Source organism: Homo sapiens, chromosome 1, assembly GCF_000001405.40.
Source record: "Homo sapiens chromosome 1, GRCh38.p14 Primary Assembly".
In the NCBI taxonomy this organism is placed as follows: domain Eukaryota; kingdom Metazoa; phylum Chordata; class Mammalia; order Primates; family Hominidae; genus Homo; species Homo sapiens.
In genome coordinates this window covers 85,084,355-85,100,615 of record NC_000001.11, presented here as the reverse complement: position 1 = coordinate 85,100,615, position 16,261 = coordinate 85,084,355, and the positions used below count along the sequence as shown (strand labels likewise).

General features: G+C 38.3%; 1 protein-coding gene across 3 annotated transcripts in view; it reads right to left on the bottom strand.

Annotated features, from left to right (window-relative positions):
• Nucleotides 1–16,261, bottom strand: part of DNAI3 (dynein axonemal intermediate chain 3) — a 70,812-nt gene that overhangs the window by 32,523 nt on the left and 22,028 nt on the right. For 2 of the 3 annotated variants that reach the window (NM_145172.5, XM_047444741.1), the window contains exons 6-13: nt 15,921–16,070; nt 14,586–14,785; nt 10,384–10,500; nt 6,968–7,158; nt 6,061–6,185; nt 4,596–4,685; nt 2,961–3,047; nt 1,958–2,086 (exon numbers count right to left, since the gene is read on the bottom strand). In NM_145172.5, coding sequence (NP_660155.2) covers nt 1,958–2,086; nt 2,961–3,047; nt 4,596–4,685; nt 6,061–6,185; nt 6,968–7,158; nt 10,384–10,500; nt 14,586–14,785; nt 15,921–16,070 — 1,089 coding nt within the window. The remainder of the gene's footprint in view (nt 1–1,957; nt 2,087–2,960; nt 3,048–4,595; nt 4,686–6,060; nt 6,186–6,967; nt 7,159–10,383; nt 10,501–14,585; nt 14,786–15,920; nt 16,071–16,261) is intronic. The other variant, NM_001288563.2, reaches the window with a different exon arrangement.

The window sequence follows — 16,261 nt, the reverse complement described above, 5'->3', positions numbered from 1 at the left end:
TGGGATGGCTGGGTCAAATGGTATTTCTAGTTCTAGATCCTTGAGGAATCGCCACACTGTCTTCCACAATGGTTGAACTAGTTTACAGTCCCACCAACAGTGTAAAAGTGTTCCTATTTCTCCACATCCTCTCCAGCATCTGTTGTTTCCTGACTTTTTAATGATCGCCATTCTAACTGGTGTGAGATGGTATCTCATTGTGGTTTTGATTTGCATTTTTCTGATGGCCCGTGATGATGAGCATTTTCTCATGTGTTTTTTGGCTGCATAAATGTCTTCTTTTGAGAAGTGTCTGTTCATATCCTTCGTCCACTTTTTGATGGGGTTGTTTGTTTTTTTCTTGTAAATTTGTTTGAGTTCATTGTAGATTCTGGATAGTAGCCCTTTGTCAGATGAGTAGGTTGCAAAAATTTTCTCCCATTTTGTAGGTTGCCTGTTCACTCTGATGGTAGTTTCTTTTGCTTTGCAGAAGCTCTTTAGTTTAATTAGATCCCATTTGTCAATTTTGGCTTTTGTTGCCATTGCTTTTGGTATTTTGGGCATGAAGTCCTTGCCCATGCCTATGTCCTGAGTGGTATTGCCTAGGTTTTCTTCTAGGGTTTTCATGGTTTTAGGTCTAACATGCAAGTCTTTAATCCATCTTGAATTAATTTTTGTATAAGGTGTAAGGAAGGGATCCAGTTTCAGCTTTCTACATATGGCTAGCCAGTTTTCCCAGCACCATTTATTAAATAGGGAATCCTTTCCCCATTGCTTGTTTTTCTCAGGTTTGTCAAAGATCAGATGGTTGTAGATATGCGGCATTATTTCTAAGGGCTCTGTTCTGTTCCATTGATCTATATCTCTGTTTTGGCACCAGTACCATGCTGTTTTGGTTACTATAGCCTTGTAGTATAGTTTGAAGTCAGGTAGCGTGATGCCTCCGGCTTTGTTCTTTTGGCTTAGGATTGACTTGGCAATGCGGGCTCTTTTTTGGTTCCATATGAACTTTAGTTTTTTCCAATTCTGTGAAGAAAGTCATTGGTAGCCTGATGGGGATGGCATTGAATCTATAAATTACCTTGGGCAGTATGGCCATTTTCACGATATTGATTCTTCCTATCCATGAGCATGGAATGTTCTTCCATTTGTTTGTATCCTCTTTTATTTCATTGGGCAGTGGTTTGTAGTTCTCCTTGAAGAGGTCCTTCACTTCCCTTGTAAGTTGGATTCCTAGGTATTTTATTCTCTTTGAAGCAATTGTGAATGGGAGTTCACTCATGATTTGGCTCTCTGTCTGTTATTGGTGTATAGAATGCTTGTGATTTTCTCAGAATATTCTTGATATTTCACCTGTTAATTATTCAAAGTACATAGTAGATCTTTAATGCCCTTGAGGAAAACATGTGGGGAACTTGCCAGTTTCCAAATTTATAGATCCCATGCTTTGTGAGGTTATAGTCAAGTAAGTGTACAACCATAAAGACAAACACCAGTGCAGAAGCTGGGCAGTCAGCTGGGCTCACAGACTGCACAACTAGTTTTCACCCACCAGCCTCTCAGCACACTCAATTCCAGATTGTGCCCAGCAAAATTACATGGTATGCCACAGATCTTTAGGGTTCCCTTCCCCCAGATATCTGAGATCATAAATCTTAAATTCATACATGCTAAGGGTGTAAAATATTTGCAGTTCATTTTTACACATCAAGCCCTCATCTTCTCCACTATTGTATTATACCAGTGTTGACACCACCCACATTTTTTAGTTAGAAGCCAACTGAGTTGAAAGATTGGCCTTATTCTTACTCCAACTCAGATACTGGTCTGGCAACAGTAACCCCATTTTTTGATGCTTAGTTCCTGGTTATTTCACAATTTAAGTGTAAATGAATTGTTGACTTGAAACATCTTCTTTGCATAAAATCTGAAAATGTGTAATTCAGCAGGAGAAAAGTATAAGGCCATCAAGTCTCACCTCAAATGTGTCAGACAACCAGTGTATATCTGTAATTACTTTCTTATGTCCATTTTCTATTGAAGAGACTGCACAGTGTCTGATATACATTGCTTCTTTATTACTCTCCGGTTCAAGGAGAAACATAGGCTGAAAAATATTAAAAGAAAGTTAAGTGCTAATTTCAGAGGGCTGATGAATGAACTCATACTTTACTCATCATCTCAATTAAAATGAACAATTTAGAGATATACCAGTTCAAGGAAAAACATAAATTAGTGTTTCTCTATATCATATATTTAGGTAATAGGATTATCTACTTTTCCCTTCAGTTTGGTCTAAGACTATTTCTCTAAACTTAACAAGTATTATTGACCTACTCCATAAAGAATCAATGAGACATCTCATTTTAGAAGGAGTATTTCTTTGTGCCTATAGAAGGCTGCATCTCACCATTCTTTGGTAAGAGACTTGTTGATGTTAAGGCTGAAGAACTGGGCTGGAGTAGATGCATAATATGGTGGGTAGGTATGGAGTAATCTTCTCAACCCTCTTAACAGAATCCATAGCCCCACAAAATCATGGTATATTATCATCAAATATGATGTAACCCCTTCATTTTATACATGAGAAAAGCTATCGTGCTGAGGTGAGGTGGCATGTCCAAACTCACAGGACTACGGTCCACAGCCTGGGTATCCGCTCTTCTGTCCAGTGCTCTTTCAATCACCTCACTTTAGGCAAGTCACTTGGTCCCTTCATTTCATTTAACAATAACAACCAGACAGAACTTCATATCCTTGGGTAGATGGTGCAACTTGATTCATTGTGTTTTAATCAAGGGCCCACATAAAAGTGATTCAGAACATGTTCACAAGCACAGGTGAAGGCTTGGGAAATAACATTCTTTTTTTTTTTCCTTTTTTCTCTTGAGTTTTTATTAGCCTTGGCAACTATATTATGTACTTTTCCATAAACTCTTCAATGGAAAAAACTTGCAAGTGAAATGTTGTAAAAAGCTTACCTTCAGTGTGGCTCTTTTACTTCTACTACCACCTGCCTTAATGTTTTCTATGCGATCTGCATGTGCGGTGATATCCCACATGACAATCTAAAATGGAAATAAATGTTATCATAACCTTTTCAGAAAATATCTAATTGAGTCTTAATTTTCTTTTAACTATTGGTTTGTAGCCTGATAAGTCAATCACCTTAGGGGATAATCAAATGTAGCTTATATCTTAAGTAAGTCAGCAATTTTTAAAGCTAATATAAAAAGAATGTTTTCTTCTCTGTAAAAGTATCTTTAGCACTTTCATTTTTGTGCTTACATTAATAAAGGCCAGTATTTTTAAAAAATCCAAAATAAATGTCATGCAATTCCCTTTGCTTTAGGAAAAGTTCTTCCTGTTTTTGGAGGTGTGCTATGATTGTAGGGACAGTTGCTTTGGACCCAGGAAAAAACAGCCCATACTCCAGAATTGAGTACAAACACCCGACTGTCCAAAGAAGGCTGGGAAGTGATTATTTCTATTTAATTGACTATTACAGCCAACTCTGAATTCTTATGTATCTAGAAGGCCATTTTTTAAAAACAAGTCAGGATAAGGTAGATATATAACACTAAATTAGGTTTCCAAAGACTAAAAGGTATTTCAGTACACTAAAGTTTTAACAAAATGTCAGGAGTACAGAATTGTAAGTGATTTTATTTTCATCATGTGCTTTTCTGAAATATTCTAAAATAAAGTCACATTACCTTTGTAATGAGTGAAAAAGGCATTTCGGGATTTGCAGGGCTTGGAGGATGGGCTTTGAGTCATTATGACCCTCAGTTATTGTTGAACAAAACTGAGGGAGAAAAAATTGTTTTCCTGGTTATTTTGGTTCTGGATAAATGGACATGGAAGCTGCAGACATTTACATTTTAACCACAAGGAAGTTTTTCAAACCACACACACAAAAATCATATACCCTTTTGATGGTCAAACCCACTGAATCACAATGAATTTAAACCTTGACCATAAAACAGCTTTATGATTGTTTTGCTTCACTAGAGAAACAGGATATTGGAGGATAGGATCTAAATTTGATATTAGATAACTTAAAAAGAAGATAAAAGCAAACGGTATTGAGATACATATATATATATATAATCTTTATATATAATCTTTATATATAATCTTTATATATATATATAATCTATCTATATATATATATACACACATATATCTGCCTATAAATTCAGTGATGTGTGTATGCTTTCTAGTGAATTTCTGTTTAAGTTCTGGATCATCCCCTAACTCCTACTCCCAAGGAAATTTCAGAAGAGGCCTTTTTTTCCAAGAGGTAGTAATGCTTGTAGCTTTTGTTCTTCCATGGAATCTTATACAATATGTGGTTCAGTCCCAGCAACACAAATAGATTTCACCCAATTCTGTTTCAGTTTTGAAGCTGGGTTACCCCGTGAACACCTCAGGAGCTGATACCGTGTGTAACACGTCTCTATACCCTGCTTCCTGGTGTGGTGTCTGGCACACAATTGGCATGCCTTCCTTCTGCTGAATTGAATCCTTAAGTCCAAGGAACTGCCAAGTCAAAACTTATTACCAAAGGTTGTCTACATTAATACATAGCTGAAAAAAATTCTGTTAAGTACCTGCCCATTGATACAGCCTCCAGCAATGATATTAGGATCACTCGGACAGAACTTGAAGCAGAAGATGTCATCTGGGCTCTCCAGCATTAACTAAAGTAAACCCAGCAAATTCATGAAAGAATGAGAAAAGAGATTAAGATCATGGCGAGAAAATAATATTAAGACAGTTAAAAGTCTAATTTTATAGCTATCTATAAGCAAGGTGCGTAGAGAGTCTATTCTCAGAGTTCTGCCTCTGGACTAAAAGCTGCTTTTGCTTAATTTTATTGTGCACATTGGCCATACGAGTGACAGTGAGTATGTTCTCAAGGGGACCCAGGTATTCCCCAACCCACCCCTCAGTGGAAACAAATTGTAGTTATTTTGGGAGCATGTTACAATGTTTATAACAAAAAGACTATGAAATTAGTGTTCCTGAAAACCATGGAAGGGAAGCTCTGTGAGGACAGGATCTGTGTCTGTTTTGTTGCTTGCTGAATACTGAGCCAGGCACTCCTGGAGTGGAGAGGAGATCTACAGGGTAGAAAGGTTAGAAAACTCTAGTGAGAGAGTGGCTCTGTTTTTGTGGCTGACAAGAAAGGGCTAGAGATCTTTCAATTTGATCTCTGGGTCTATAATCATTAAAGTATCTAGAATCTATTACAGTAAAACTACCTTAATTCAAATGAATTGGGGAAAGGAAGAAGGGGAGGCTAGGGTTTTTTAGGGAAAGTCTTAATTATGAATACTTTTTAGAAACAAAATATTATTATATTTAAAACATTGAAATAACTTAATCTAACACTATACACCACCCACCCACTAGGCAGATCTCTTATTGAGCAGACCATGAAAACTAGAACCCTGTGTAGCAAACCCAGCCTTCAGCCTCATTTTATTTGAATTGCTATGTGTTTTGGTTGGTTTGAGTGGGGTTTTTGTGTGTTTTGGCTTGGTTTTAGTTGAGCTATTTAAAATTGGGCGATTTCATACAAAATTCCAAATTTCTCAATTCTCTTGACAATGGGACCACCTGGCAACAAGAGGGCAGCCAGCCTAGAGATGGATAATGCACTCTCCAAGGCCGCAGTCCCTACCACTCCCCAGTGCTCTCCCACACATTCACCTTTATTTATTACCCAGTGATCCTTGGAATTGAGGAAACTCATGTGAAACTAAAATCTATTTGCATTTGACCAATTAGTATTCAAGTAAAGTCCATAAAAGAGTTTGTTTTAAAAATAGTTTAAACATTCCTCTTACAATCTTTGAAAAAAATAGCATGTTGATTTGTTCAATAAACAAATTGTAAACTTTAGTTTTGCTCAAATTGAATGATGACAAGTTCTGCATTGAAGAAAGCCTAACTTTATAAATGTTTACAACATTACATGATTATAAAGTACTTTGCAATAAAAACTGCTAAAGGTATACATGAAAGTAGTATTTGAAAATTTAGGCTATGTAGGCAACTCTCCCTAATTACCTGAGGATGTATAGGATCAGAGAAGCTCCAGAAAAGAATCAGTGATGGCTGCAGCAATAATTTACCAGAAAAGTGAACTCTGTCTTCAAAAGAAAGTCGCACGGCTACCGACACAGCTATTAGCCCTGATGGAAACACATGTAGAAATTAAAGTTGGCAGCAACTATACATGGAGAGATGTCTCTAGCTTTTGCTTTTCTACACAGCCACTCTTCATTTACACTTTGTCCACAGGAGAGCAAGAGTTTTCTTAGAGCTCTGCTGGCTAATGTGGTTGCCACTAGTTACATGCTACTTATTTAGCACTTGAAATCTGGCTGGTCCAAACTGACATGTACTGTTAGTATAAAATATACAGGGGACTCAGAAGATTTTGGAAGAAAAGAAAATCTTGTTTTGTTTCTTTTTTGTGAGAAAAGGGCCAGTGTAGGGTGAAAGGAGGAAGAAAGAGGACAAATACCTCTCTCTTTCCATGTTTCCATCTTTGCACATCCCTACCTACCTCCCTTGGCTGCTGAGCTCTTTAAAGGAGGCACATTTCCTCTCTTGTCTAGTAATCAGAAAGGCAGTGTTAGGAGGAAGAAATTTAGCCTTGGGAGAGCAACAGGCCCAAGCCCAACCCAGACTCTGCCTTATGCCATCTGGGTGACCTGGGCGAGTCACTTCCCTGAGTTGAGCTTGGGTCCTTTTGTTGTGAAACAGAGATAATGACAGGTGTGTATCCTACAGGGTTGTTGGGAGGACACATGACAGTGAGGGCGTGGAAAGCACATGGCAGGTACCTAGTGAGTACAGAGCAAATGGAAGGTGTCTTATTGACATTGAACTAGTTTGCAATTTTACATATGAAAGCAACAGACAATTTCAATGTTATCACAAAAGGGAATCCCCATCATTTCCATCTCACCATAGATAGTTGGATGCCATGAGACACAGGTAATCATTTTCTCCGTTGGGCTATGAAGGTCGGTAAAGGACTGGTACTCTTTCAGGTGGGTATCGGTCTTGTCCCCAAAGGTGCCTTCTTCTTCTGCGAGGTATTTCCAGTCATCAATAAATGTGTTCATGATTTCATTTTGCTGCAGGGCTATTTCAACACTAATTTGTAAAAATAAAAAAAGCAATTAAGATATTGGTTTTTAGTATCCAATAATGTGACTATCTTAGCAACTCCTCCTCCTTCATTTATACTGAACAAAAAATAATAATTCTCAATTATATTTGGTGATAATGATTAACCTCATGTGAAATAAATGACTTAAGAGAAAAAAACATCATGGTGGCATGTTACTCAGAACCTCGAGCAACTTCATGATCTGCCTCAGTTTCCAAGCCAAGGCTGTACTCTCTCCAGGCCAATGCCTGAGCATGCAGCTGCAGGGATGGCTGGGCCTGGCCAGTCCTCCTTGTGCAGCACTCCCACAGCAGGCATCTTTGCTCTGGAGCTCCTGCTGAGTAGGCTGAGAATTTGTCTGATGCTCTACCTTCCCGGTCCTGTCTCCTCCTCCTTTATTTTTCACAGTGTAATCCTCAGTAAACGTCTGCCTCTAACTTGATGTCATTTGCTTCCTGGAAAGCCCCAACTGTCACAAATGGCAGTTTTCTTAGGCATATTCTGTACTAAATGATCACTTATCCTTAACAGGATAGCCCCAATACATATGTAATTCAAAACAACAAATAAGAGATTCTGAACAAGGGAAGAATTGGAGTTTAGAAGTGTGTGTGTGTGTGTGTGTGTGTGTGTGTGTGTGTGTGTGTAGTTTTAGTTGTCACAATGCCTGGGAGGTGCTACTGTGTTTAATTCCATTACCAAACCTCCTGCAATGCATGAGACAGTCCCCAAAATGAAAAATTATCCTGCTAAAAATACTAACATTGCTCCTTTAAGATACCATCTGAGTGCTAGGATCATTTGCTAATAGTCTAGGGACCTTGGTTTGACAGGCTCCTGTCTTAAAGTAGTTACTATGATAGTTATTGTCCCTTTTTATGCTTAGATCTGAAAGCTCTGCATACTCCCAAAGTTGCTAAGAGCCCTCCCACAATTAGAATGCCACCCAAGGTTTTACCCTACTGATCAAAACTGTAAACTTCTTGGTTTTATATAGGTGTGGTAAGTTGAAAAAGTGGTTCTCAATTGTGAATTTCTTAAAATAAGAAAAAATCCTTTAGATAGTTCAATATAAACAGTAAAAACAGATACTCCTAAAATATAAAAAAGGGCACCGTTTGATACCCCTGTCATTGATCATTACACTACCAGTCATTGCCTAATTGAGTCCTCCCTTGGTTAAATTCTTCTTGTATTTCATCTTTCAAAATAGACCCCTTTCCTAAGACCTGGCCACTTAAAGTGTGATCCAGTGACCACCAACATGACCTGGGGCTGTTAGAAATGCAGAGTCGCAGGCTCCACCCGACTTACTGAGTCAGAACCTGCATTTTAACAAGAGTCCTCAGGTGATTCATAAGCACACTGAACATTGAATAACCCTGTGTAGCGGACTCTCGAGGCTTAAACAGTTTCCAGTAGAAGCATTAGTAAGCATTTTCCAAATCATATTTCTTTCTGGTTAAGCCCAAATGAGAAGGGAATTCTCAAGAGAAAAGTTAAAGACGTGGCTTCCGCTCTGGTTTCCTGATTCTACCTCCTTAGCCAGAACGGGGAAGTAATTCAAACGGAAGAAGTGAAAACACATCTTTCTTCTGGTTTCCGGTTTCTTGCTTTCCTGGAACCATGTAGCTCCCGAGAGTAACAAATTGGAGGCTAGCAAAACTGTTGTCTAGGAATTTTAACCCCGAAAGGAAGGTTTCTTAGTTGTTTTGTGAATCCCCCTGAAGTTCCTCTCTCTCATCTCATGTCATTGCCTTCTTTTGCAAATAATGCTTCCCTTAAGTTTGTTTTAGATAAAATTCTATGAGAAAGAAATTTCCCATTTCTAAAAGGGCTTTCTTCCAGAACAAAATCAGGCTTACCTTAATTAAAAACTATTGAATAAAGCTTAAGCAGTTTTAAAGCTGGAAGTTATGTTTGCAGTGATATAAACATGGGTTTCTTATCCACTCTGGGCCAGTGCTATTATAATTCCTGTGCCAATTTTCCTCTTTCTTCTTATAGATCTGGCTTCTCCTTCCCACATCTCAGGGATGGAATCATAAAGCTGTCCACTATTCTTTTCTTTATAAGCATGGAAATTCAGAGGGAAGAATAAAAGCCCAGGTCTAAAGATAATATACAATGTGGATTTATTTTGAACATTTTTTTATTCCCTCAAGATCTAGTTTTCTCTGGATATTGATTATATGTAAACAAACTTCTCATTTTGAATATTCTTACAGGAAAAATTGTAATGACTACTAAATTTTGATAAGGGGAGGGTGAAACTCAGGTTTTCTTGTTTCTATCTCATTGCCCGTATAGCAAAAATTATAGCATCCTTCCTGCGAGTGGCAAATAATGTTCTCTCTGAATCATTAACTGAATTTTTGAGCCAGAGTCTCCCTAGGCATAAGTAACAAGTTTGAGAGTTGTTGGAATTTTTAGGATATTTAATCCAGTATGAAAGAACCAACGACATTTCTTAAAAATAAAAAAGTTTAACTTGGGCTATATATGAACTTGACCACCAAGTTTTTAATTTTAGAAAGAAATAGAAACCAGCCTATTGAGTATAACTGGCAGACTTGTCCTCCAGTGGATCCACTTCTCTAAACTCTAGTATCAGCTTGGTGAGAACTTGTCAAGCTGTTTCTCTGGTTTAGAAGCCCCAGAACTCTACCCAGGGTCCTACTAACAGCTTAGGGGGCATTTTGAAGATGCTTCTCTTTCAAAGCCAGTAAGAGTGCAGGAACACAGGAATTGGTGATAAGAGTGAAATGTCCAAAAAGACATTTGAATTAAATTCAGGTTCTCATCTACAAAGATATTTTTGCAAATACTTATCATCATAATAATGGCCACAGCATTCTCCTCATCCTATAAAAAGTTAATGAGGAAGAGGAGTGAGGAGTGGAGAAAAAGAATTACGTAAAAGTAACCATGGTAAATACAAGTAAATGTTAATCTGCAATTAGGAAAACATCCTCACACACTCAACTCCTCACACAGTTTGATGTGGCCTTAGCTTGATAGGGCTAAGATGTTGCTTAGCAATAGAAAGGAAATAAATATTGAGAATCTGTAGAATGTGTCACACTGACAACTGTCTTCATACTTTTTATCTAGATACCCTATATGGAATTGTTTATTTAGACCTGTTATTCTATGTAAACATATACATTTTATGTTTTATTTTTAAAATTTAATATGCAATTTTTTACCTTATGGATGCATTGTTAAGAAAATCAACCAAAGGCTTTGATTGTTTGAGTGTCTCTTTTTCCTCTTCTGAGAATTCTCTTGGATAATATTGCGTAGTAGCATTTTTAGGATATGTCCTAATATATTAAAAGAAAATTCAATACTAAAGATTAGGTCAAAGAAGAGCAAATATGGGCCACAACAGGTCAAAAGTGTGTCTCTGTGACAATGATGTTAGGATATTATTTTATATTTAAATTATATACATTGAATTTTCTTTATCCTAGACAACTGATATTGACCACTATTCAAAGGCTACATGAATTTCTCTCCAACATAATCAAAAAAATCTTATTTTTGTAAAATTTTTACCTAGAAATCATTTCAAACTTATAGAAAAGTTATAAGAAGGGTATAAGGAATTCCCACACACCCTTCACCCAGATTCGTCAATTATTAACATTTTGCCATCTTTATTGTTTTCTCTCTCTCTTCATTTCACTAAGTCAGTGTCCACCTCACCCCCTCATGGGACATTTGGCAATGTCTAGAAACATTTTTGGTTGTCACAACCTAGACATGCTACTGGTGTCTAGTGAATAGATCCCAGGGATGCTGTTAAAAACCCTACAAAGCACAAGACAGCCTTCCCTCAAAGAGAATTATCCAGCCCCAAATGTCAATTTGTTGAAGTTGAGAAACTCTGCTCTAAACATACAAAACTAGGAATAAGATACATTTCAGCAGTGATGGTGGCAGGAAGTCTTGCTCCATCTAGTATGCTCTTAGTGGCCTCTGTATGTGAACACCTCATATGGCATTGTACCTCTGGGCTTTATCAATCTCAAGTATTAGACTGGGTGAGCCCTTGATCTTGGCATGTAGAGCTTGGAAAAGTCACAGGGCACAATCATTAAGAGTGTGGATTCTGGTGATTGGCTGCCTGGCTTTGAAGCCTGGTTCTATCATTTACTAGCTATATGACCCCTGAGCCAATTATCTAACCTTCTGTGCCTGTGTTCTCATCTCTAAATGAAATTATTCAAGTAGCTAGTTCATAGTGTCATTGTAAGGATTGAATGTGTTGATACATGCAAAACTTTAAAAACAGTGCCTAGCACATTTTAAATGATCAACAAAATATTATGTAGTATTTGTGTTTGTTGAACAAATGTCAGCACAATGCAGAATGTCTCTGTGAGAGGTAATATATTAAATGGAGAGTAATCAGACAAAGGGGTAAAGGGAGTTTTTAGAATAATTCATTTTTTTTCCTTGTTTAGGTCAGTATCCATAGCAGAAGGCAGAGTGGTAGAAAGAAATAATATTAGTATTGGAACCAGAGAGACTTGGGTTCAATTCTCAGCTTCACCTTTTAATTTCTGCTCTCTAGACAGGGTTAAGTAAAAAAAAAACAAAATGATATATTGCTTGGTGGTTTTATCAAAGTAGCAACATGCCTAAGAGTCACTCTTACTTTCGAAATATGATTTGTTTTGTTGTTTTTCAGCAAAACCATTCATTATTGCTTCAAGTTTAAATTATGCCCGAAACATTGGGCTTTCATTTTTAACCTCTCTTTGCTTCAGTTTCTCTATTTGTAAAATGGGGATAGTGCCTACCTCAGAGAGCACTTGTGAGGATTGAATTGATGTGTGTAAAGCACTTAGAAGAATGCCTGGTATGTGGTGGGAACACTAGGCATTTGCTTTCACTGTCATTATTCTTTGAACTTCATCTTTGATTTTTCTTGACTCCCTCCAATATAATCACATATCCTACTTTCTCTACCTCATACCAGCTACCCTTCCCAATTTCCTGCTTGTAATGCATGGTACCAGCATTCTCCCAGTCACCTAGGTTTAAACCACTTGAGTTCCTTTTAATTCTTTGAAAAAATTGTTTTTTCATTTTGTGGGTCAAGACCTGCCCTTATTTCTCATCTGTTTACTCCCTCTATGTAGGAACACTGCCAATATTATTATTATTAGTCTGTATTCTGAGTCTACCTACTGAGTCTACCCTGGCTGACTCATTCTTGGTACTTGTCTGTACCCTAGTAGGAACATAAAATAAATCTCTGGCTGGCTTGACTTAGAAATTTGTCTCAAAATTCAAGTTCATTTGGTACTAATATATCACCTCTCTCCTTCCTCTCTTGCCCTCACTTCTTGATATTTATGGATGTCTGATGTCCTCCTTCCCTGCCAGGACTTGACCACCAATTCTTGCCTTTCTCTTTACCGCCTCTTGTTTTGGCCTGTCTGTTCATCTTCTTCTCTTGTTTCTGACTCATTTCTTGGCCCAACTTTTGGAGTCCATATATATATATGCCCTGACTTTAACATTGCACTTTCATGGTTTTTAACCTGTTAGTTCACATAGATCTGAAAAGTATCTTCTGTATTGCATTCCATGGTGCTGAGCCCTGATTCTCCTGGTCATGACTTGTCTCACTGTGTATTTCATAGCTCTTCACTTAACACTGAATTCAAGTCTGTCATCATTCTGCACATTCTTCCTTACCTACATCCTTTTCTTCCTGTTTTCCCTCCTCCATTCTTTTTTCCCCTCCATTTAATAAATATATGCCAGGAACTGTCCTAGGAGTTGGGAACATAGCAGTAAACAAAATATACAAAGTTTTTATCTCATAGAGCTTAAATTCCAAGGGCAGAGTGAAGAGAAGAGAGATGACGAAAAACACAAATCAAGTGATTATGGCACAGTGGAGAAAAATAGAGTAAGGGGATAGATGGTAATGGAGTTGTTGCCTTTTTTTTTCTTTCTTTCTTTTTTTTTTTTTTTTTTTTTTTTTGAGATGGAGTCTAGCTCTATCACCAGGCTGGAGTGCAGTGGCACTATCTTGGCTCACTGCAACCTCTACCTCGCGGGTTCAAGCAATTCTCCTGTCTCAGCCTCCCAAGTAGCTGGGATTACAGGCACACGTCACCACGCCTGGCTAATTTGCGTATTTTTAGTAAAGACGGGGTTTCACCGTGTTGGCCAGGATGGTCTCGATCTCTTGACCTCGTGATCAGCCCACCTCAGCCTCCCAAAGTGCTGGGATTAAAGGCGTGAGTCACGGTGCCCGGCCAAGTTGTTGCTTTTATATAGGAGTGTCAGGGAACACCTCATTTGAGCAGAGATCTGAATGAAGGAGGGGATAAGCACAAGGGAAGAGCATTCTATGTAAAGGACTCGTAAGCTTAAACACATCAGGTATGAGTATGCGTGGTGAATCAAGGAATGAGGAAGCCAGTGTGGCTGGATGGATGAGCAGGGAGAACTGTGGGAGATTAGGGCAGAGGGGTAAAGGGATCTAGATCATATGAAGCCTTGTAGGTTCATTTGGGATGACAGGCCATTGGAAGGTTTTGATCAGTGACATGATCTGACTTGCATTTTAATAGGATTACCAGGGCTTCTCTATGGAGAACTGAATGCAGGAGAGAAAGGATGGCTAGAGGAAGCCCACTTAGAAGGAATTACAGTAATCCAAGCAGGAGATGATGATGAATGGTCTAAGGTAATAGCAGTGGGTAAATTTTGAAGATAGACCCAACAAAATCCAAGGCTTTTGGTCTGAGTAATTAGAACAATATCATTACCACTTACTGAGAGGAGGAAGATTCAGCATGGGCAATGGCAGGAGGAGGTGGAACCGCAGGTATTCTGGGAACTGGAAGCAACTCATAGGGCTGGCACACAGAGAGCTTGTTTAGGAACAAGGGATGATGGGACTGGAGAGGCAGACAGTTCCTCGTCATAGAGGAAGGAGAACCTCATATGCCATCCTAAGGGCTCTGGATGGATGTATTTTTTAAGTGATGAAAGCCAAAGAAGAAACCTAGACAATGAAGTAACACCATCTGATTTGATGTTTAAGAATGATGACTTAGGTAGTAGAACAGAGCAATGAGGGGCATGGTAATATGCCAGATGAGAGATGACCAGCACTGTCATGATAAACAGCATCACTCATTTTCCCACTCCAGTCTTTACAATCTTCCATACTTCTATCTCATTTTCCTGTTATGATTTTTAAAGGCATTATTGAATATAATTAGATCTTCCTGAATTGAATTACTCTGTGGAGATCTATGTGTCATCATCATTAATCCATTTCTATTTATTATAAAGAGCTCTCAAAATAATAATGGAAGTTACTAGATTTTACTGTAACTGGCTATAAAATTACATACACCCATCACATACTTACCATTTTGTCTGAGTGCTTATGTCCTTTATTTGGGGGATTACTTGCATGCCAACATCTTTTTCAAGTTGTTTAAGGGTAAAATTTTTATCTGGGTAGGCTGTACATTCAATATAGGCATCTTTTACACTGGAAGCATTCTGGTCACTGAACTTAATTGGTGCACCAAATTCACTTCGTTTTCGAGAAATCATATATGTAATCTGTAACACATGTAAACAGTAAAGGTAACATAATGAAGTCCCTGATGTGTAGGCAATGTTGGTACTCTGCTCAGATCCACTCAGAGCCCTTTGTGCACTTTCTGTGAGCACCTCCAGCTCTGCATGCTTTCCATTCACATGAGCAGCACCCGCTCCTCCTCTTTGGAGGGCTGCTCTAGGGCTATTGGGACCACTTTGCCAGCAGGTGCAAAGAACAGGAAGTAACTGGCAGTTTCATCTTGACTAATGGTGGACTGGCAGGAGGGATACATAAACCCCTCTCCTTGGCTTCTGTGTGGGACAACTCTGAGGTATAATTTACACTCAGAGTACCTCTTTGGGTTTGGCTGAAGCCTTCCCTCTGCAGACTTTTGCCTGAGAGTGCAGCCTGGCAGGCCTTCCTCCATATCCCTGTTCAGCGCTTGTCATGTTCTCTTCTGGGGCACTTTCCTAATAAACCACTCATACACAATTCCCCCTCACAGGAGTTCCTTTGAGAGGGAATGCCACTATATTAGCTTCCTACAGCTGCCATAACCAAGTACTACAAATGGGGTGGCCTAAAACAACAGAAACTTATTCTCTTACAGTTGTGGAGGCTAGAAGTTTGAAATTGATGTGTTTGAGGGTTGTTTCCTTCTGAAGGCTCTGAGGGAGAATCTGTTCCCTGTTTCTGTCCTGACTTCTGGTGACAGCCAGCAATCCTTGTGTTCCTTGGTTTGTGTATCCATCTTTCCAGTCTCTGCCTGCTTCTTTACATGCCATTCTCCCTGTGTCTCTTTGTCATCCCATGGCCATCTTATCACAAGGACACCAGTTGTATTGGATTAGGGACCTACCCTACTCCAGTATGACCTCATCTTAAATAGCTATACCTGCAATGACCCTATTTTCAGATAGAATCACATTCTGAGGTGCTGGAGGTTAGAAGTTCAACATACCATTTTTTGGAGACAAAATTCAACTCATAACACCCACTTAAGACAATGACCATTCTTCTATAAAAGCAAACCAAAACAACACACCAAAAACTATGCCTCCATAGCAAACACAGTAAACCTTATGAATCCCTCAGGAATAAGTGTTGTTCAGCTACAGGGAGGTAATGATTACAGATCATATATAACCCTCTAACCTGCTTTGTAGATTCCGTAACTGATTCTTCCTCAATTTCTTTTTCACTGCCCAAAGAAACCCATGGTTTAGAGACAGGTGGTTTATAAATATACACATCTTCAGGAATATGTTCTTTATATTCTTCTTGTTCTTCTGGTACTTCTGGGGGCTAAAGTAAAATAAATAGCATTCTACAATGTATGCCCAAGTTTAGGTTATAGCTTTATATATATATATATATTTTGCAACAAACTTTACTTTTATATAAATTCATTAAGCACCTTTTTACTTTTTTTTGTCAATTCACACTTTTGAATTATGAAAAGGAAACAAAGCAAAAAAGGGAAAAAGAAAAAAGAG